Source organism: Homo sapiens, chromosome 8 (assembly GCF_000001405.40).
Source record: "Homo sapiens chromosome 8, GRCh38.p14 Primary Assembly".
Classification (NCBI taxonomy): Eukaryota; Metazoa; Chordata; class Mammalia; order Primates; family Hominidae; genus Homo; species Homo sapiens.
In genome coordinates, this window is record NC_000008.11 from 6552493 (window position 1) to 6575691 (window position 23199).

Below are 23199 nucleotides of genomic sequence, written 5' to 3' on the forward strand. Positions count from 1 at the left end.
ATAGAAGTTAGAACATTTAACCCGATTAGGGTGACTGGAATTATAACCTTTAACTAATGTGAGATATAGTATAGATCTTGATAAGTGTCTTTCTGGTGTTCCTATTAAAATTCATTATAATTACCGTTCCTGCAATTGTGTAGCATCTTACAGTTTCCAACACCCTGTGCTAGCCATCATCTTATTTGAAACACATAATAACCCTACAAGTTCACTGATGTAGGTAAGAAAACTGGTACCGTTTCTGAAGATACACAGTGATTGTTTCGGCCAGTTAATTAAGGCAAGAGATCACTCAACAATTGTTCTACAGTTATTCCTGCTTTTTTTTTTTTAACTCACTCATTAAGTGAAAGAAGCCAGTCCGAAAAGGCTGTATATTTTATGATTCCAACTGTATGACATTCTGGAAAAGGGAAAACTGAAGATAGTAAAAGGATCAGGGTTTGCCAGGGGTTAAGGGGAAGAAGGGCTGTGCAGGTAGAGCACAGAGGATTCTTAGGGCAGTGAAGCTGCTCTGTGTGATGCTACAATGGTGGATCCATGGCTTCATACATTGGTCCAAACCCACAGAATGTACAGCACCAGATGTCAACTGCGGGCTCTGGGTGATAATGATGGGTCAATGTAGATTCATCAGTTGTAACCAGTGCACCACTCTGGTGCAGGATGTTGATCGTAGGGGAGGTGGCTGTGTGTGTGCCACGGAGGGGGGATATGGGAACTCTCTGCACTTTACTCTCGATGTGGCTGTGAACCTAAAACTGCTCTAAAAAACATAGTCTTTTAAAAAATCATTTACTACATATGAAAAGGAACAAGTAAAGCAACAACAACAAAATGTTATTGTGTACTTTCAGATTGCACCAGTAAACCTAGCCAGCCCTCACTAGGGTCTTCTGATGGTTACATAGTTAAAAGTACACTAGCACACCGGGAGAATAACTTCAGAGGCTTGCTGGTCTAATGGTAATTGCGTCGGCTTCACACGTCAACATTTTTTTAAAAATTAGATTTTCTTGAATCTGATCATGTCCAAGATACCTCTTATTTTGGTATAGAACGCCTTTATTCAAACAACGGGAGAACATGAACATATCCCTTTGCCATAGTTTGGCTAAATTCCTGAGGCTGGCTGGGGCCAGAAACAAAATCCCTGAAATGGTCTCAAAATTTTTTTTTTTTTTTTTACCTCTCCCCTTTTCCTTCTGGTTGGTGGTCTTGGGGCCTACGAGGCCCCTCAGGCAGAGGGGAAATGGCAGTTTCCCCATCCCCTTTTGGGACTTCTTGAGCAGAAAAGCGAATGTCAGACGGTCCTTATAAAGTCCCACGTGATTCAGCCACTGAGGATGGCACTGGCTGTGGATTTACATGTAAGACAACTTCATGGCGTATTTTCGCCTTTTGCTGTTGAATATAACTACCAAGATATGGTTTGGGCAGACAAAATAGAAATCTTCTGTGTGTAGCATGTCCAGTTGGATACTGTTAGTGACATAGAGAGACGAGCGCACAACTCAGGTTTAACCTTCATCCCTGAAATTTGCCGGAACAGTCATAATGAAGGTGCTAATGTATTTCCTGAAATACTGAGTACTTCAGACAGGGAGATATGGGTGGTATCTAGTAGCCTTGTGATAAGACCCATATTAGACTAATAGTAGTCTTATCACCAGATTAAACCACCTGGATAGCCCACCTCAAGTCATCAAGAGTGTTAACATGGGAGTAAGTGTGACAAATGCCCAGGTGGTCTGGACTAAATGTGACAAAATTGAGAAATAGACCCTACAAGATCTGGATTTTAAAAAGAGAGAAAAAAAAAAATGGAAAGGCTGGCTGCTTGCTTCCTTTTAAGACTTTGTTCACGTTCTCGCCCCCAAAAGCCAATTATGATTATAATTTATCAGCCCACAGGAAATGATTGCTTCTCTATGAGACATCGTCAACATGATAAAATAATCCATTTCCCAAGATTTCTATATCTTAGTATCTCATCTCTTTAAAAAGCTCCATTGTCCATAAAAAATTATAAAATTACATATTTTTACATGACAGGTAATTTTTAATGTATATTTTTAATTTGGTTGTTGGTTTTTAAAATAGTAAAATATTAAATATCAACTATGAATATTTTGTGGTGGTAAGTTGTCAGGTTAATGTAAAGATTCCAAAAATAATTCACAGACATGTGGAAAGTTGCTCAGAGGGAGAACCAGTCTGATTTTGGAGAAAGTAATTACCATCAGAGGAGCCCTCGGAGGGAGCGGGAGAGTCCACAGGTTTCAATCAGGTTCTAGATGAATTGCAAAGAGAAAGGTTTTAGCTGGTTGCAGGAGGGGCTCTGGTAAAAGGATTAAGTCCAGTTCTCAGGAGTTTTTTAATAGGTTTCACATCTTTTGTCAAGTGGTGCAAGGAAGGATTAGGACAGAAAAGAAAGGTGATTTCATGGAGAAATATCTAATTAAAATATTAAAGATAGTCGGATGGCACACCTGACCTAGAGTCCAGGCAGTGGTAGGCAGAGTTCCTTCCCCTTTTTTTTAAACCACACATAAAACAGTCATTTTAATTCCAACAAATGGTTCATACTGGTATTCTAAACCACTACCCATGATTTTTTTTACTCTTTTTATTTACATCAAATCATTCAACTTCACATCATTTTCTTTTTAAGCATTAACATAATCCAAGTGCCAGGCCATTTTTGGTGATCCAGTCTGTAGAATGTGAGATGGACAATAACAATCAAACCGTTTTCAAACTCTAATAGTGGGAAGAGAAGGCCACATGGAACTTCCCTGAGGCTGAATTTCGTCGTCCTGCCTTTCAAGTGGTGTCCTGTGAAATCCAGCGTTTCCCCCTGTCAACTTCCAGAACAGGGCTGTAACTAGATGTATGGTTTGTAAGAATATCCCATGTATACTTCCTCTTGGTTATAACATAATTTGTTTTACGGGGGGTGGTTTGCCCTTTTTTTTTTTTTGGAGACAGGATCTCACTGCGTAGCCCAGGCTGGAGTACTATGGTGCCATCCTGGCTCACTGCAGCCTGTGCCTCCTGGGTTCAAATGATCCACCCACCTCATCCTCCTGAGTAGCTGAGACTACAGGCATGTACCACCACGCCTGGGTGATTTTTATATTTTTTGGTAGAGACGGGGTTTCATCGTGTTGGCCAGGCTGGTTTTGAACTCCTGAGCTCAAGCGACCCACCCGCTTCGGCCTCCGAAAGTGCTGCGATTACAGGCATGAGCCACTGCACCCAGCCACATAAATTTGTTTTTAGTCTTCTGAACGATTAAATAGTTGTACCAATTATACCAATTGCACCAATTCTATTACAAGGTGGAATTTCTTATCGTTCCTTTACAAACAGGATATTCCCAGTTGCTTGTTTTTGCTTGTTTTCCTAGCAGCTTCAGCACCATCCTCACATAGAAGGGCTGGCATCTCACCTATCTAGAGGTGAGAACAAAGCTGTGCTCTCAGCAATCGGAATCTGTCAAGTCTGCTGTGGGGACTTGGTATCTCAGGCCTGATGCTGGCCTAGGAGTGCCCTGCACTCGTCTCAAGATCGATGTCCCAGTGGGCGAGAATTGCTGCCAAGACTAACCAAGGGTGTCAACCAGTGACTTAACTTCTCAGGCTCACTTTTTTTTTTATTTTTAATAAAAACAAATTGTTAAAGAGGTAATTTAAAATATGTACTATATAATAAGTACTACAGCATATACAGTGTTTACATACATATAGGCATTAAATATTAAGAATGTTTATTTCAGAATCATATAATTATACCTGATATTTACTTTTTGTCATTCTTTGTATATTCTCCATTTTTTGCAGTATCTATATATTACTTGGGTAATAGGAATAGCAACCATTGAGAAATAGTTCTAATTGATTTTCCTTTTATAAAAGGGTTTCCGTGTAGTGACCAAGGACTTAACATCATCCCCACCCCACAGTCCCTCACACGCCTGACTCCCTTTGTGCTGTGTTTAATTTCTCATTTCATTCATTTACCCCTTCTGTGCAGCACATACTAGCTGCTGCTACACTACACGTTCTGACCAAAGCATAGTGTCCCCCTGGGGCAAGACTCTTGGGAATTGTCTTTTTTTATTTTTTTTTCATTTTTTAGGGTCTCACTTTGTTGCCCAGGCTGGAGCGCAATGGCACCATCATAGTTCACTGCAGCCTTGACCTCCTGGGCTCAGGCAATCCTCCCACCTCAGCCTCCCAAGTAGCTGGGACCACAGCTGCGTGCCATTGTAGAGATGGGGGTCTCACTCTGTTGACCAGGCTGGTCTTGAACTCCTGGCCTCAAAGTGTCTTCCCATCTTGGCCTCTCAAAGCTCTAGGATTACAGGTGTGAGGCACTGTGCCTGGCTTTAGGCATTTTCTTCCCCCTCTGACTTCTTCTAGGCACCTAGAACCAACACTGCCTGGACATGTGAAGGCACTCGATAAATATTTTTTGAACAAATAAATCAACTTGCATGGCTCCTGCCCCAAACTGGAAACCCCACCTAGGAGGGGTGGGCGGGGTCATATGGTGTTCACTCACTTACGCTAATGAACTGAGAAATAACGCACTTCTGCCCAAATTCATGTTCATTCACACTCCTCTCAGCAGTTTTCTGCAGTCTTCCCAGCCCCACGGAAAATTCTGCTTTTGTCAGAGGAGGGGATATGCGTGCTTTCCCGTGTTTGCTTTACCGCTGGGCAATCCATACAAGGCTACTAAACTGCAGAGGGTACTGGTGTTAGCATGCCCCGTGTTTATAAGGGACTTAAAAAAATATACAGGCTTGCATCCACCATACCTACCATACTTGTGTACTAGAGATATTCTCGGGGCAAAATGAGGTGAGGTGTGGAAAGTGCTTTAAGGTGACTCAGAGCCACCCTGTTGCGATTGCTGCCTTCGTGATGACTGGTGTGGCTGCAAAGTTCAGTGGCTGTCTTTATATCAGAATAATTCTAGAATAATTTAGGAGAAAATTCTCATTGTTAGGTTCCTTCAAGCCAAAGGAGGATGTAGTGAAAAGAGAATAGGTGTTGGCTGTCTAGATGGGCCCTGTTTAATTAGAGTCGACTGTATCAGTTGCCAAATGAAGCCAATCTTACAGGGCCATCCTATAGAACAAATATATATTTTTTATATTTAATATGATATATATGTGTGTGTACACACACACACACACACACACACACATACATATATACAGGGAGAGATAGAATGGTTTGCCTGCTGACTTGCCATTAAGTACCGTAAACATCCTGGAAATTGTGAACAGCTAATTGGAAAACAGTCTGTCCGTGTTCATGATTCATTGTATGCATCCTCTAGATCTCAACTCAGGAAATCCACAAAGCTGACCAGGCCCTGCTGTCATTTTGTGGCCAGATATGGAAAGATATAAACCACCTCCTTTCTTCCCTGTCAAAACAGTTGTGCCACGTCCTCCCCCTCTTCCTCATCTTGACTGACTCCCTCACAGGTGGTGTCTCTGTCTCTCCTGCCCCTGCCCCCACACGCACCTTTAGTTACCTCAGTCTTTCAAATTTTGCTCTTTGTTCCTAAGTACAGTCTTCCTTCCAACCTCTCGTCATGTCATTTTTGGGCCAGGAAAGATCCTGATTATGCTATAATGCCACTGTACGTGTTTTAAAAAGAAGGAACGCTGTACATTTGATATTAAATTTGGCATTTTAAATAAAGGGCTGGTAAAAAAATCTCTGAGTGCTAATCTCCAAGAAAGGGATGGAAGACTGGGGAAAGAGAATCTACTTCCTATTTCCACCATTTTAATAGCCTGACATATTTTTTTACCTTGCCCATATCTTACTTTCATAACATTTTTGTTTTATTTTTTAAATTACTCCCATGGCGGTAGAGTTGATTTGAACTCTTGTTTTTCAATTTTAAATGTACAAAATTTCAATTATTTTATGGATTAAAATAAGCACCCCAGACCATCCTGAGCATCTGATCACCAATGGTAAGACCATTATCCTTCTCAAGTTTCATCTACGGTAACTGGCTTACAGATAAACTTGTGGATTACAACCTGTTTGACAACTGTAAAGAGCCACATTGATTAAAATCAGAAGATTTTCAGAGTTCAGTATTTAGACTATATGGATTATCTAGTGTCTCAATAGAAGGTAAGGTTATGGAAATCCATTTCCTAGTTCTAAACTCTGCAAGCAAACAATCATCTCCCCATAGTGTGATATCTAAATAGTTAATCCAGTATGTCAGACAACCCCATTTAGTAAACAAAGACTACTTGACCATAGAAAACATATGATATATGTATAATATATAATCCATATAGAGTAAACATGTATTATATTTTATATACTGTATAGGCACATATCATACTATACATATACATATCGCATAAGAGATACAGTAAACTATATTTGTATTTTCCAAAATTAAATATGTTGCAGTTCCCCTACCATAGTGAAACTGTCTCTTCTACATTCCTTACTGCATTCCTTACTATATAGTAATACTAACACTGAGCACAATCATATTTCACCACTCAGGATGTAGCCAGCGGATACAGTAATGGTTCTTGTCCTCCGCAGGAGGACCACGGGAGACCAGTGGCTGTGAATGGGATGGGATTTTTTTCTTTCCTCTAATGAACCAAGCCCTGGGTTTTATTGTTGTTGTTTTAATATACAGCTATTGAGTGTTTTGTAGCCACACACGACAACACACACACACACACACACACACACACACAGAGTCCCTAGCAAGGGCAGGGTGGGGCTAGCGGGCTGGGTTCCCCTGGGAGCCCCTCACCATCCATTTCTCCCAGTGACGGCAGCTATGTTTGAAGAGCATAACTGCATGGTTTCCTATGCATTCATTCGTGAGTAGTAGCTCTCATATATTATTAAAAAGATACACTATTATTACTTTTAAAGAAAGAAAAGGATTGCAATTCACATTTACACTTTCCAGCCTGTTCTTGTGTTGTTTAAAAAACAAACAAACAAAAAACGATGGCAGAGGAAATGTTTGCCTCCGTAGTAGGCATCAACTTTATTTTTCAAATCATTCTGTTTTAACGTGTTCATAGACTGCAGTTGTTTATAGGTATGAGGCACTCATCAGTGTGAAATAGTTCTTTCCTTTCCATATTTCCTCTTATCAGAAAAAAAAATTCCTGTGGTCTCCTAGCAAAATACAATCCATTTTGCTAAATTATTTGTGAGTTTTTATAAAGTGTGTTTAATATCACCAGGGCAGAGGTTCACACTAGTTGCAGGATTAGCAAGAGAGACGTAGCATGAGTAGTGTTTGGTCCACTGCAGTGTGTTTTGTGTGCTAGCGATCATGAGTTTATCTGATCCTTGTTTAACTACTACACAGTGAGTAAGCTGTCCTGTATTGTTCCATTCATATTCCTCTGAGTTCATTCAGAAGCCTGACACTTCCTTTGCCGGACAGATTAAAGGGGCAGCGTGGGACCTTTTGATGATGTGAAACCTGCTTTCTTAGTCTAAGCTCCCTAGGCTATGCTGACCACTCAGAGGTTGAACTACTATTTATTTGCCCTAAAATGAACCAGAAACTTGGTCTTAGTTTCCTTCCTGACACATGTTTTAATTTCCTAAAAGTGTACGGATTTTGTAGTGGGTTGTTTTTGAATCTTTCATTTTTAGTGCTGATCCAGGAGAGAAAGGAGATATGGAAACATTTTTTTCAAAAAATAGCTCAAAAGAAAATATGTAAAACCATGAAAAACCCAGAATTGTGCTGCTGCTTTCTGTGCTAATTAAATCAGTGGGTGTTAGGTTGTAATGATAACCCTTTAACTGTGTGGCTTATCTCTCATTCCATTTTATATTATTTTCTTCCTCATGAGAAAATCAGTGTTTATTATCACAGGTGACAAAACACAGGAGAAAAACAAACAGTGAGGTTACATTTAATCACTTTAAGTGGGTTTCATCTTTGCTTTTTTGTTTTCATTCCCAAGCCAGAAGCCGTAAACCGAGCGAGAGTGCAAATTGCCTTTCTCAGGTGCACGTTGCTGAGATAGGCTGGGAGAACAGGTGTGGAGCCCGTGAAAAGATAAACATTAAGTCATTCTTGGGGAAACGGTATTTAGCTAGACAGCTGAAGACGGACTTTTGAAATACCATTGTGCTACTGCTGTTCAAATATTGACTAAGTGAACCTGGAAAGGAAGAAATTTTGGTCGCCTAACATAGAACTCGTTGTCTTTTTCTGTCTTTAAATGTTATCTCAAAGACCCAAGAGAAGGGGTAGTTTACCTAAGAAAGAAATATGAGCTTTGCTTATGGAGTTTCAGGTATACCTAATGTAAGTTAATTAAGCAAATACAATGTAGCAGCCTTGCATTTGGCCTAGCATTCTTTTATGTTTCCTGGCTGTTTCTTCGAGGAGATGACCTGCCTGTCGGGCAGATTAGAATATTTACTGCAGTGCATCTTTCATGCCTCGCTGTGACTCTGTAACCACGGTGGATGTGGGAAAGCCATTAACCATCAGCTTGACGGTTTACAAAGAAATAGGAAGTTCAAGTTAAGCAGATATTTAGGATATAGTTTGCCTTCCACATATTTCAACCTGTGTTGCTGCATACTTTTTAAGCTTAGCGTAATTATTCACACAGCTATGAATTTTAGAAGATGTTTAAAAGCAAACCACAGTGACCTGGGAAAGGAGGGAAACTTACTGGAGCGCTTAGCCAGGAGCTTAAAAAGACATTGCTAGTGAGTTTTATGTCACATGAAATCTACATTTGATAGGTCATTTTGGTAAGTTTTTGTTGTTTTAAATGACTCCTCTTGACACAGTAACCAGTGGTGCTGGGAACATTCATTCACATTCATTCATTTAAGCTCATGACTCAAATAATAACTTAGTCGTTTCCTCTCTGAAGGTAGGGGAGGTAATGAGGAGCACCGATTAGGCTCCAAGATCCGTTCTGAGATTCAGATAAGGTGTCCTAACAAAAGGTTTATGGTGAAATGAAAGAGTGAGAAAATAATTGTGCTTTTTCTAGGGTCATGCGTCAAATGAGGCTCACCAACTTTTAAAAGACTTTACATAGCTTTAGATAATCACATTCCCTGCCATGTAAGCATTGTGATGTAATGGCATCATCATGCTACTTAACAATTAATTTATGCATTTTGTTTAAACTTCCTTTAGAATATATATAGTCCATATAAAGAAAATTCCAGGTTCGTTTTGGATTTTGTATAAATAGCTCCCATGTTTACATGTGAAAAAAAATTATTTATGAAAGAAAAACAGAGCTTTCAATATCCTATTTTGGTTACGTCTCCATAAAAACTCTAGGAAACAGTGGGATCATCTGTGAAACAGTGGAATCACCCCAAGAACAAACTGTCAGACAGACCGTCCTGTCGTGGCATGACTTGAACATAACCGTCCCACGTGGGGACGCATTCCGCACCGGTTGCTGGAACTGACGGGGGCTGCAGTGCTGAATACCTCTGGGACGCTTGGGAACTGTGCCCCTGTTTACAGACGGCAAGCCCTTAGTGGTAGGGCCCTGAGATTCTGAGAAACATAAGGTCTGCTTTATTTAATTTCCTCTCGTTTACCAAGAGTCACAACCTATTTTAGTAAATAAATTCAGGAAATTGGTAAAGCACTTTACTCCATCCGTTATGCCTCGGTCATCAGCATGGTTGTCACGGTCTCTCTGGCTCACGGGCTGCTGCGGCTCACAGCCTTCCCTCACTTGCCTGCAACCAGCTGAGAGCCTCCCTGGTGATGGGTGTTACTGAGCTTAAACGATGTAAACAAACAGAACGGCACACAAGTTGTGCAGGGAAGTATATTTCCTCTACCTTGTTAATAAAGATTTCTAACTTTAGAGATTTTCTGTATTGACTCTGGCATTCTTTCCAAATAATTATTTTCACCCCGGGGACTACCCACACACCCTGGGATAGAATAAAAGAAATTATCTTTCATTTGAGGGTACCAGCAACCCGCTCTCCAGCTCTAATCCTCTTCATCCTCCTTCTTTTTTTTTTTTTTTTTTTGGTTGTTAAAACCTGAGCTGCTGCCAAGCTGATCTTAATAGCATGTTCACAAAGACAGATGGATTTTTTTCCTACCTTCATTAGCCACTGAGTGTTGTTTTCCATGATGTTCTCCAGCACTTGCAGCCTCTGCACCGAGTCATCGTATTCGAGCGGCGCGTCCCTCTGCACAGCATTGGACACGTAGGGGCTGGAGGAAGAGCGGCAGTTGTCCATCTCTGGCAGGAGGAAAGTGTAGCTGCAGGACCCATGCTGGACCTGATATTGCTTCTTTCCTATGCTGTCCATGCTCTTCCGAAAGTTGTTATAGGCTGCGGCCAAGACAAGATCACAGCTCAGAGTAAAGAAAACAATCTGCCACATTCTTTCTTCAGTAATAAACCAGCAGCTTAGCAAACTTGAGGGCAAACACACGTCCAGAGTCCCGAGCTGCTGCCGTCTAAAACGCAGGGCTGCTACGCTGCCATGGCTGGGTCCGTCAATGAAAGTCTTCTCTTTCCTCTTTTTCCAGTAGCAAACCTGGTTTTTACTGCTGTGTTCTCTCCAGGCATGCAGTAAACTGTCAGATTGCAGTGGGAAGAACAGTCCTGCTCACTTGGGAGGGCTGTGTCAGCTTTTACAGAGCAGCTTTCACGGTCCTTTGTTCCTCTCTCCCCAGATCCTACAGTGTCAGTATCCGAATCAATCACTTTCCTTTCCTTATATGATAAGTTGATAAGAGCAGCCAGACATGTGTAGTGGGCTGCTCCGCCCTCCTGGCTTAGCCGTTATCTTCCTGTAGGGGGTCACTAGCCAGGCAACAGGAAAAATCAGAGCAGAATGCCTGCCCTCCAACCAGGACCCATGCTGCAGAAACCCTCTGGGAAAAACCGATCTGTTACAGGACCCCTGGGCATTTCCTAGGCACCACCCCAATTAAGTATTTCCTAGAGAGAGCAGTTGATCTCTTTTGTCTGAAACTGATTTTTGCCGTGCTAAGCTGGCAAAATATCTGAGGTAATAACTTTAATGTTGAAGTACAATGAAAGTTCCTGTTTTTTCCTTTAGGAATAAAAATATTACAAATAGGTCAGGACTTCGGTTTATTTTTGTTATTACAAATAAAGAGGAAGAAGTTTGGCTCCTGTAAACGTGTGCCTTTTCAGAGGGAAAAATAGATTCATTGATTTTAGTTGATTCTTGAACCACTAGCCAAGTTACAAAAGATTTTCATTTCCGAACAGTTGGATAGAAAGATCTGTTATTAAGTCACGTTAGAAACATCAGTTTCTGAGCTCTGACCTTTATTCTTTAAAAAAACTCCACTTGGATATTCACTCTAAAAATACACTGTACTGATTAAGTTCATTACATTACAATAGAGAAATTAGAATTTAAGTGCCTGTGTAGAAAGAGGAATACAAACTTTTTTTTTTTTTTTTTTTTTTTGAGACGGAGTCTCGCTCTGTCGACCAGGCTAGAGTGCAGTGGGGCAATGTTGGCTCACTGCAACCTCCGCCTTCCGGGTTCAAGTGATTCTCTTGCCTCAGGCTCCTGAGCAGCTGGGATTACAGGCAAACGCCACCACACCCGGCTAATTTTTGTATTTTTAGTAGAGACAGGGTTTCACCATGTTAGGCTGGTCTCAAACTCATGACCTTGTGATCGACTCGCCTTTGGCCTCCCAAAGTGCTGAGATTACAGGTGTGAGTCACCATGCCTGGCCCACAAACTTCTTTATTGTGTCAGAATTTGTTGACATCTCAGCATTTTGTAACACATTATCAATTACATTAGTCCCCCTTGGTATTAGACTCGGGCAAGTCACTTCCCTGTTTTAATTAAGCTCTAATGTCCTCATCTGTGCAATTCAAGGGGTGCACTCACAAGATTTTTCACCTTCAATCCTATGGCTCTGTAAGTTCTGCAAGTCACTTCCTTTAACAACTAAAACTTAATACTTCAGAGATTAATAATATGTTAACTCAGCAGCCCAAGTGTACATAGGGAAAAAGCCCCCTGCCTTTGCTGCGGTTTATCTCTCAAGGTACAAGGTTTATTATTCCCAGTGAGCGCTGAATAGCTGGTACACTGACTTAACAGACCACATCTACCCATAAAAGATCTTTATTTTTTACTAAGCTCTAACCGAAAGACAGCCTTTCCCTTATCAATGAATAGTTAACGAACAACAGTGTGAATATCTGTGACTTTCTCATCCTCAGAAATCAGCTCTTTTTATTTGCTGCCACAATACTCAGAACTACATTTTTATTAAACCCAGCCCTAGATCTTGCTACTGAACATTGGAATAAAGTAGCATGTGTCTTCTTTTGAGAAGGTGTTTATAGGCTTCACCAGACAACCAAAGGGTTCTGTCACACAGAAAAGCTGGAAGACATGCTCTGGAAGGATCTCATTAGTAGAAGAGGTAGTATGATTCCACCAAGGTTCTGGACATGGTTTCCACTAAGGGAACCAATTAAAGATGCTATACCCATCCGGACAGTGCACCGTCGAAGAAAGCATATAGGTCTTAAAGATGAGACCTGTGTTAGAACCCTGCTTCTGTGTGACCTCCAGCAAATGCTTCCATTCTTGGAGCCTCAGTCTCCCTAGTCATAAGATGGAGATCATTTTTTCTCTGTAGGGTTTTTAGGATTAAGATATAATTGTATGTTTAGAAATATTTGTTCCTTTTCTTTACAGGCATGCTCCATTAAATGGGGATCAGTTCTTCCACCATCAAATAGTATAACTCTGCTATTCTCTGAATGCAAAGCAGTGGCAGTGGCATAGGGTACAATTTTTTTATTTCCTGTTTGAAAAAGCATATTGTAAGGTATTAATATCACATATGTGGTTTTACCTTTTTTCAAGATTATTTTTTGTAGAGACGGGGTCTCACTCTTGTTGCCCAGGCTGGTCTTGAACTCCTGGCATCCAATGATCCTCTTGCTTGGCCTCCCAAAGTGCTGGGATCACAGGTGTGAGCCACTGTACCTGGCCTGCATATATGGTTTTAAAAGTCATTCAGTTGTCTTCCAGGCAAATAGAGTAGTTTAAAAGGAACAAATAGAAAGAGGGCACACCACAGTACTTTTTGTCTACCAGCCTTGTGTCAGACACCATGCTATGCACTGGGGATAGAGATTAAGGCAACTGGGTGTCTGACCTAAAGAAGCTAATAGTGTATGGAGAGGGAGAGACCCATAAACAAATTGGATGTGGTAAGAGAGAGCAGTCGGAGCACAAAGAAAGACAGTGATGCTTCCGGGTGCACAATATGCCATGTGCAGCTGGCATGGACTCCATCCTTTTCAAATTCCCTCAAGTTCCGAACATGGAAGGAACAGCTCTTTGTAGATTCCTAAATGGAAATTATCGGAACCAGAGAGTCAGGGGAAGCTCTAGTAGAGCCGGAGTTGGCAAACTCTGTCCAGTGTCAGATGGTAATTATTTTCGGCTCTGCAGGCTATACGGCCACCATCGCCACCACTCAAAGGTAATGCGGTGCAAAGCAGCTGTGGGACAGCATTAACTGAGTGAGCGTGCTGGGCTCCAATAAAGCTTTATTCGTGATACTGAAATTTGAATTTCTTGTAATTTTCACATCATGAAAGATTCTATTTTCTGCAATCATTTAAAAGTTTAAAAACCATTCTTAGCTCATAGGCTGTTAGAAACCGGGCCTGGACTGTAGCTTGCTGGCCTCTGAGAGCCTAGGTGGTCTGTGGGGGTAGGAGGTGCTGGGCAAGGCCGTCCACAGTGCACGCGGTGTGGTGACCGTGTGTGGTTGGCAAGGCTGTCAGCAGTACACACAGTGCAGCAACCACCGTGTGTGGTCAGCAAGGCCATCCACAGTCCACACAGTGCAATAACCGTGTGTGGCGAGCAAGGCTATTGACACTGTACGCCGTGCAGCGACCGTGTGTGGTCAGCAAGGCCATGGAGAGTGCACACAGTACAGTGACCACCTGTGGTCGGCATGGCCATTAACAGGGCACACAGCACGGTGACCATGTGTGATCAGCAAGGCCGTGGATAGTGCCCGTGGTGTGGTATCCATGTGTGATCGGCAAGGCCATGGATAGTGCATGTGGTGCGGTGACCCTGTGTGATTGGCAAGGCCATGGATAGTGAACGTGGTGCGGTGACCGTGTGTGATCGGCAAGGCCATGGATAGTGCACGTGTTGCGGTGACCATGTGTGATTGGCATGACCATCGACAGTGCTTATGGTGTGGTGACCGTGTGTGATCCGCAAGGCCATGGATAGTGAGTGCACACGGTGCGGTGACCATGTGTGATCAGCAAGGCCATGGATAGTACACGCGGTGCGGTGACCATGTGTGATCGGCAAGGCCATGGATAGTGCACGCGGTGCGGTGACCGTGTGTGATCGGCAAGGCCATGGATAGTACACGCGGTGCGGTGACGGTGTGTGATCGGCAAGGCCATAGATAGTGCACGCGGTGCGGTGACCATGTGTGATCGGCAAGGCCATGGATAGTGCACGCGGTGTGGTGACCGTGTGTGATCGGCAAGGCCATGGATAGTGCACGCGGTGCGGTGACCGTGTGTGATCGGCAAGGCCATGGATAGTGCCCGTGGCGTGGTGTCCATGTATGATCAGCAAGGCCATGGATAGTGCACGTGGTGCGGTGACCGTGTGTGATCGGTAAGGCCATGATAGAGCATGCAGTGCGGTGACCGTGTGTGATCCGCAAGGTCATGGATAGTGTACACGGTGCGATGACCATGTGTGATCCGCAAGGTCATGGATAGTGCACACGGTGCGGTGACCATGTTTGATCGGCAAGGCCATGGATAGTGCACACGGTGCAGTGACCACCGTGTGAACAGGGGAGGACTGGTGCCTCGGCTCAGCCTTCTGTGTGGCTGCTTACAGGGGCTTACTAACGGGATAGAATAGGTGCTTAGAGAAAGTGCCACACTGAAGTGAATTAAGGATGCCAGGTGGGGAGAGGGGCCAGGAAGTGGCCTGGGATGCAAGTGTGCATGGATGGGCGCTCAGCTGTGGCCCCTAGGGAAGTGGAGACATGGTCTGCCAGGCCACTGACCAGGAAGCCTCGGGGAGCCAATGGGAGGCCCTTGAAGGCATTAGGTGCAAAGCCTGGAGTTGTGGGTGTCCAGTAACACCACCATGCAGCCTGGGGGTCTGAGGCCACCCATCTGGGACCCCTTCACTCTAAATGAGGCTTGACTAGGGGGATCTCAGAACTCCAGAGAAAATCTTGGGTGTTCCTCCCTGCTGTACTGACGGGACCACAAGAGGCAAGTGAGACTGTCAGATGAGAAACATTATTACAGGTTCCCAAAATCCACCTGCCTACCCACCCAATTTTTGTCTGTAATAGTTCTGCTGAACAGCTGTGCATAGTGCAATTTATTTCCTTAATACTGTTTGTTTTCTCCCCCATATTCTGTGTCGGCAACTGACATTTCAGAGGTTCCCATGTGTTCTCTGTGGAACTGTCTCAAGTTCTTATTACCCTGGTTGACGACACCAGAAAAACCATAGCTACCTACTCCCAGAAAGAGGCCAGTGTTACAAAGAATCTCGTGGCCAGCCCTTTTGGCTCAGTTTGCCCAGTTGGAGGCCCTAAGGCGCAAACAAGAAAAGCCAAAGGGCCTCCTGAGGACCGTGGAAGTGGGTGGCGCGTGGACCCATCGCTAGCTGAATGTGGAATGTGGACCCATCGCTAGCTGAATGTGGAATGTGGACCCATCGCTAGCTGAATGTGGAAAAGGACTTATGACAGTCAGACCATCCCAGGTTCCCCCAGAGCAATCCGTGCAGCTCTCATAAGCAACCAGAAACCAAAAAAGGATGCTAAGTCAGCACAAAGTGGAGCAGCCCCCCAGCTATGGGTTGCCAAACAGAATTTGCTTGTGGGCCCCGTGACCCCTGCTGTTGTCCAGTTTAATGCTCAGCATTTATCCAGATCAAGGGATGGAAATGGGGCCACCAGCCTGACCCAGGCCCGGGGTCGTTTTGCTTTTCCAACCTGTACCATCCCAGCAATGCATTGCCAGCGTGCAATTTGAAAAAGCCCTGCCGAGCTGAAAAACACATGGAAAGGGCTCAGACACACTTAAAGGCACATTGCTGCCCTGCATTTATACGGCATTTTGTGCTGACATCGTTTTCCATCAGGCCTGGGCAGCCCCTCCTGAGACTGTCTCCCGCCTGCCGTCCTCAGCACGGCCTGCCCGGCTACAGTCTGCTTTCCTCCCACTGCCCCTGCCTGCAGGCCTTGGAGGCGGTGACTGCTGCAGACTTATTTGGGCAGCCTGGCCTTAATTTTTGGAAAGTGCCTTGTTGATGTATGAGGAACTTCCACGGCTGAAACAGTCTAAAAAAATGAAGCTGGGACACTATGTTTTGATTTGAGCCATTTGCAGACAGAGGGGCACACTCGGGACTCTTGGGCGCCTGGCACACTAAGCTGGGAGGGACTTTTGAGACATCTTGGCCATCCAAATCAGTCAACATGTTTATATATACAATTTAATGTTCAGTATACAGGGAAAACCATTAGAAGGTTAGCTGCACATAAAACTGTTGTTAAAGTTATTTTTATTACTTCCCCCCACAAATCGTATGCAATAATTAATAAGAACTAGAGAAATAGCCACAACTGGCACAACACCTGCCCCTCTGCCAAAAGAAAAAAATCTTCTTTCTGAAGGCAGGCTCCCTATATAGTGATTCCTTTATATGCCTCCTGGAAGATCTGTTTCGACTCCATTTTGATATATGTTGAACCAGATTTGAAGACCCACAAATGCAGTCTAGAGCCATTTTGCAAAAGTGTTGCTGCATCAACCATTTCCATTCCCCAGTGCTGCTCATCATGTTACACTAGTGTTAAATCCTGACTTTGGAATGCGAGGAAGGACAGTTCCAGCCATGGGATTTCAAAAAAGTACCAAAGGAAAGCCCCTTCAAGTTACCGTAAAGACAGAAGAAAAGGAAGAAAAATATAAACACACACGTATAAACATGTAAGGTAGCTTTGGTCCCTATAACAGACAAGGAAATCAAGGCTCCGTGAAGAGAGAGACAAGAATTCCCTTAGCCAAGTGCCTGTGTGTGTCTGTCTTTTATGTTAATGGTTATGAATTTAAGGAGAATTGAAAGCAATAATTTTGCCCCTCTTTAACATGGCAAATACAGCCTGCTTTAGAGATGATCAGCAATCACCATTTAGTACTGGCCGTCACCTCTGTGCAGCACAAACACACATCCCGAGTGACAGAAGCCATTTCACTGCCAGAGACTCTTAGCGGCCTTCAGTTCTCTTGAGCTGGAGCCACTGGGTCTTGTATGAAAGCTCACCAGACATCTCATGTGGACCTCGGGCATCTGAGCCGGGACCATCCTATTACAAGTGCGGAAACCAGATCATTAATGCAGAGCTGAATTCAAATTGTTACTTGCTAGCTTAGGAAAGAATCCTTGGAAATCCAACATATTGTCTAAATGGATCAGTTAATCTTACTATGTGCATTCTACATACCCTTTCATTGTTTGGGCTTAAATAACTTTTCTGCTTTGTCTGGTTTAATTTCATCCAATGTGGATCGCTGGAAGAATATGATGTATGTTTTAGAATAGAAACAGTTCTGAGATGAAGTTGAGCACAATTTCCTGTTCTAGTTGCAATTAAATATAAATATAGCATTTGACATAAAATAGCTGGCCCGATATATTTAGAGTACAAGTTAAGTGTCATCCCCTTAGAATTGGGCATTGACTCCGTAGAATTCCCCTTTGTACAAGGTGAGCAAATGTATATTTTGTTAAAAATAAGTATCTGACTGCCAAAACGGACAGAAAGCTCTTTGCCATATGTGTTTTCAGGCCATTTCCTTTCCTGGGAAACAGCCATTTCCCCCGCATTATAGTTGTGTTTTCATTTGCGGGTAGATAGAGTAAGCGCAGGAGTTAAAGGACGCGGGCCTCCACAGCCAAGGCCTTATCTGGGACAATTATCTTTCTCCTTGCAGCTGTGTAACTTCTGTTTGACACAGAACCACAGAAACCCTGTTAGTGGGAAGGATCACAGTTAATAGGAGAAAAATCTTCATTGTTCATGAGACTTCTCAGGTGCTTGGCATTCTTATTTAGGTGGCTTAAAAAAGTTCCAAGTACTCATTCATTCTAACTTATCTGTGTTCATTGTGAAATCGTGTGTGAATGACATTTGGAGCAGATGGATTGTTGTTTTTTTTTTTTTTTTTTTTTTTAACAAACTTAAGAGATTCCCGAATCTTTCACAGTTTGTACTACCGCAAACCAGCCTAACATCTGCTAAAGAATTTCATATTTTAAAGCTGCACTGTACATCATATGGAACCTTAAGGACTTTGAAGGGAAGAGCTTTTTATTTACTGGTAGCTTGGGAAATATCCAAGTAACTATTTTTTAAGAAAAAAAAATTCCTTGAGTTTTTAGAAATAGTTTATATAACTGTTATGCTGTTTGATTTTTAAATATTTTCATTCTCTAGTATTATTATGGAATATTTTATCTTCCCATCAAAAAAATGCCAGAAGGTCAAGATAGAAGTCACAACATTAAAAGGGAGTGGATACAATTGTAAAACAATAGATGAGTACATTTGCCTGATAATATTTTTGCCAGTAATTCTGTGTCCTGTTTTCTCCCTGTAGAATGAAATGCTAAACATTTTTTTCAATGGATTGATGTCAGTGTTTACTAACATGACCTGTGTTAAGTCAAATAAAGTATTTCCTTTGACAAACACCATATTTCATTAGTGGCTTTGAGGTGGGCTTATTTGTTATAAGTCACATTAAATGTTCCCAAATCCATTTCATAAATGTTGTCGAGATCTCAAACTCCGTTGCTTCTAAAAAAATATGTCCAGTCTCTTTGTCATAACCATCCTAATAAAGATCTAAATTTCTTAGAGTGAATTTTCATTTGAAAGTGGCTTAATGCCAGCTAGATTAATTCTTGTTTAATCTAAATTTATAAAATTTTTATCTTAATTATTGAGAAACCTTTTTAAAAAGAGATAAAAATGTCATATGTGCTATTTACATTAAGATATATTATCTCTCTTGGTTATAGGTTAAGATAAATAAAATTGCTTATGTCAAAGAAGTAAAAAAAAGTCCATGACCTCCTTTTGGTATCCCCATCCATCTGGCGGACTTAATATGAAAAAATCTTCCTGTGGGAAATTAGGCTTGATTATAGAGTTACAAGTACAAAAAGTAGTTTTTGAAGAATTATAATAAATAGTTACACATAAAAGGAAGTGATGTTTGCTTGAAGTATATAAAAATATTCCTTGTCACTCTTGTCCCCTCATGAATCTTAGTTGTCTGATGATGGTTCAAGTCTTTCCTAATAATCCAGAATGTATCCCTCCACTTTTTCTCTTAAAAACGCTATTTCAAGCATTTTCTTTGGTACCCCATTAATAATAAAGCATACTTCCCCAAAATGTTCCATTTCAAGTAAGGGGTCTAAAAGTCAAAGACCGACTGATACAAAAGAGAAAAGTAAATTGTACAAAGACTGAAGAGAGGATGCAGTATTAAACGTACCAAGTTCTTGACATCGGTTTCCCTCAAGAAAAAAAAAAAATGAGTAACGTTTTTTGAAAGCCTGAAACTATTCTAGTAAAATATTTACGGAAAAAATAATATGCGCTCTCCTCCCAAATCCTGATGCGCATTTAAATCACCTTTTTCATTTATAGATCAAAAATCTTGCTTGACTACAATAAAAATTAAAAAATGGTACCTATTTAAGAATGCAAGTATCAAATCCACTTGTAATACTCACTAGCTCCCTCTGCTGATCTCCTATCAAGCGACAGGCAAATCTATCCATGATTGTTATTACAATTGTTAATGGAAATGATAGGTAATTTAGGACCTACATCAATTGCAACTAAAATACAAGCTACAATGCTTTCATTTTAATTTTAATGCAAAAGCACATCACACCATATACAGATGTTAAAGACCGACGTGCACACACACAGTGAAAAAATATTTTTAGGCATTCATTTAGCATACATAGACCTAGGAGCTGTCTCTGTATCCTCAGGTGATAAGGTTACTACTATTACAACAGCAGAAAAAGAGGTCTGTACTGTCTGTCTCCATAAGGAGCCAATTTAGAGACCCAGTCCTGTTCACCCCAAGCTTACAGTCTAACGAGGTGAACAGATGTCCCATCTGGATGCACAAGCACTGCTGCCTAAGGCCCTGGGTAGTGCAGGAGGGAGCCCCCACACGGGAAGCCTCCCAAACCACGTAAGGGCTACGTGAACAGCAAGAATAGTTTCACTGTTTATTTAGATCCACACTGTTACTTATTTAAGAAGAACATACTCTGCCCTTTCTCCCTCCCTGAAGAAAGACCAAAACTGAGGGAAATTATATTCCAGGCTGAGAAAATTGCCTGTGCACTTAAAAAATAAATAAATAAAAGGCGAGACCACGGAAGTTAAAATAAATTAACAATAATTGAGCCAAGAGGGAGGAGATGGGTGAGTCGGAGATGCGGTCTGGAACTAGCTGCTGAAGAGTCTGCTTAGGAATTGGGGTTGTACCCTGGACATAAAGCATTTGGGGCGGGGGAGTGTCCTGATGTGACTGAGAAAGGACTGTGGAGTGCTGTGTGCAGAAGGGCTTAGAGGAGGTGTGAGTAGAGGCAGAGAGACCAGAGCAGAAGCTGCTACAGTAATTCAGGTTAGATATTATAGTGGCCTGTGCTAGAATATTAACATCAGGCTCATGATGTTAAAGAGGGGTGATCAATAGGCCTTCTAGATGGATGGAATACAGGGAGTCCAGGAATGGGATTGGTCTGGTACTGGGACTGACTCTTACACTTAAAAATGCTAAAATAAAATAACTTGGCAATAGTTTTTAAAGCATCTGTAAAATGACAAGATAATAAACACATATTCTGCTCAAACTTATGTGAAGGCAGGAATCCTGTGAACTATTAAAGAGCTTTGCCATCAAGTCATTTGCCAAACCTGGCCAACTTAAGCCTACTTCAAGGCCTGAGTGGTTCAGACAGAAGACAAAGGCCAGGACCTAAAGAAATGGGAGCATCTGATGAGATACCTCCTTCCAGGAAGGCTCTACCCCAGTGTCAGGGAAGCAGAAGTAAACCTGCCCACCCCACTCTCCAGAGCAGACAAGAAAACATGCCTGGATGTTAAACAGAACTAAAAGAGGGGAGCCCATCCCTGAGAATTTAACTACAAGCTCACCCTTTTGGGTTTTACAGTACACATAAGGTGGCCAGAAAAAACCACAATGAATTGTTCTAAGGTGGTCCCAGGCTGATCATCTTATTCCCCTAGGTTTGTGGAAGAAGCAAATGAAAATCCTTTCTGGGAGAATGCACTTTCATCATGGGTCTCAAAACATTCTTACAATTTCCCAAGAATAATGGGCAACTCACAGACAAAAATAAACACACAAGAAAACATAGTGCTATTAGCAAAAATCAGCAGAAAGAAGAAATAGTAAAAACAGACCAGCCAAAAACATCTATCCCTGCTGTATTGGTTTGCTAAGGCTGCGGTACAATGTGCCACAAACCGGGTGCCTAAAACAATGGGAATTTATTCTCACAGCTCTGGAGGCTAGAAGTCTGTAATTGAGGCATCAGCAGGGCCATGCTCCCTCTGAAACCTATAGGGGGTCCTTCCCTGTCCCATCCTAGCTTCTGGTGTTGCTGGCCTCATCGTCTCATGGTATTCTCCCTGTCTACACGGCCGTCTTTTTATAAAGATGCAGTCACATTGGATTAAGAGCCCACCCCACTCCAGGAGGACCTCCTCTCAACTAGTTAAACCTGCAGTGACGCTACTTCCAAATAAGCCCACATGCTGAGTTGCTGTGGCTTAGGACTTACATCTTTCTATCAGGAATGTAATTCTATCCATAACACTTACGATGTTTAAAGATGAAAGTAAAATTTTGAAAACACCTAAAGGGGACAGAAAACTAAAGAAGAAAATCTTGCAGATTTAAAATGAAAACTTATAGACATGAAAAATACGATGGTTGGAATTTATAATTCAGAGTCATGTTTAACAAGATTAGACACACCTGAAGCTGAAAGATAAGTGAAAACGAGTCATCCCAGGTGTAGGACAGAGAGACGAGATAAGGACCAGGAGAGAAAGTGAAGGAAGACCTGCAGGATGGAGGAAGAGTGTCTGACAAAGTCCATCCAAATTCCAGAAGAAGGGAGAGAGAACAGGGCAGGCAATATCCAGGGAGATAGTCACTGAAGCTTTTCCCAAAGTGATGAAAGATATCAAGTTACAGATTCGAAAAACGGCAAAAAATGACAAACAGGATAAATAAAATGATGAGATAAAGCAGTAAGAGGGAAGTCAAGAATTACTGGTTCTGCAGTTTCTGGCCTGGCAGCTGCACAGATAGGATTCTCAAGGGCTCGGAAGGGGAGAGCTAGCAGAGAGGCAATGCATGCAGCTTGCACACATTCAGTTTAAATTGGCTATGAGACTTCCGGTTAGAGTTTTCCTATTGCATGTTTGGGTCTGAGCTCAAGAGAGCCACCTGGGTTGGAAGCAGCAGGAAGACCTATTTTCCTGATTAATCTCAATGCCAGCCTCATTACACAATCTTAACTAATATTAAACAGTATATGAAACAGGTGAAGAAGAACAGCTGTATAAATTGCATAAAGCTTAGCAATGTGGGTTTTTCTAGACAAAGTTAAGCAGCAAAGCAGCTCCATTATGAGGGACCCTTGGCCACGGTTTCACAGGTGCAGGTTCTGCAGATCATGGCATGTTGTCCTGTTCTCTGGATTATGGCTCTAGAAGAGATAATGATAAAGAAGACCCAGGGTGGTCAGTAAAAAGGTCCTACGTGGTGTCTATACAATGTTGCAAGTGACTAAAAATGAGTAAAACTTACAAGATATAATTAGTAGCATGCAACTCTTCATAAATTTGTCACTTCTTTGAAGGTCCTTGTTATGAGTTGAATTTTGTTCTCCGAAAATTCATGTTGAAGTCCTAAATGCCCTCAGCACGTGACCGTCTTCGGAAGTAGGGCCATTGCAGTTGTAATCA

At 42.1% G+C, this 23199-nt stretch overlaps 2 protein-coding genes across 18 annotated transcripts in view, besides 3 other annotated features; one reads left to right on the forward strand and one right to left on the reverse strand.

The window, feature by feature from the left end:
- ANGPT2 (angiopoietin 2) overlaps positions 1-10753 on the reverse strand; it is a 63614-nt gene extending 52861 nt beyond the window's left edge. For all 6 annotated transcript variants that reach the window (NM_001386335.1, NM_001118888.2, NM_001386337.1 and 3 more), the window contains exon 1: positions 10155-10753. In NM_001386335.1, the coding sequence (NP_001373264.1) occupies positions 10155-10442 (288 nt within the window). In that variant the 5' untranslated portion in view covers positions 10443-10753. The remainder of the gene's footprint in view (positions 1-10154) is intronic.
- Positions 1-23199, forward strand: part of MCPH1 (microcephalin 1) — a 241882-nt gene that overhangs the window by 145866 nt on the left and 72817 nt on the right. The window contains exon 13 of one of the 12 annotated variants that reach the window (XM_011534757.4): positions 9364-9907. The exons of 10 other annotated variants lie outside the window; for them this stretch is intronic. In XM_011534757.4, coding sequence (XP_011533059.1) covers positions 9364-9447 — 84 coding nt within the window. In that variant the 3' untranslated portion in view covers positions 9448-9907. Of the gene's footprint in view, positions 1-2773; positions 2959-9363; positions 9908-23199 lie in introns of those variants that run through there. One more of the 12 variants, XM_011534756.4, reaches the window with a different exon arrangement.
- Positions 8416-8710: a silencer, noted in NCBI's record as "tiled region #12768; HepG2 Repressive non-DNase unmatched - State 2:TssF". NCBI's record gives its function as "represses a minimal TATA promoter and a strong SV40 promoter by Sharpr-MPRA in HepG2 cells {active_cell/tissue: HepG2}" and the evidence as "EXISTENCE:reporter gene assay evidence [ECO:0000049][PMID:27701403]".
- Positions 9570-10095: an enhancer, noted in NCBI's record as "H3K4me1 hESC enhancer chr8:6419583-6420108 (GRCh37/hg19 assembly coordinates)". NCBI's record gives its function as "activates a minimal SCP1, AML or CMV promoter by ChIP-STARR-seq in naive H9 embryonic stem cells {active_cell/tissue: H9 hESC(naive)}" and the evidence as "EXISTENCE:reporter gene assay evidence [ECO:0000049][PMID:30033119]".
- Positions 10096-10622: an enhancer, noted in NCBI's record as "H3K27ac-H3K4me1 hESC enhancer chr8:6420109-6420635 (GRCh37/hg19 assembly coordinates)". NCBI's record gives its function as "activates a minimal SCP1, AML or CMV promoter by ChIP-STARR-seq in naive H9 embryonic stem cells {active_cell/tissue: H9 hESC(naive)}" and the evidence as "EXISTENCE:reporter gene assay evidence [ECO:0000049][PMID:30033119]".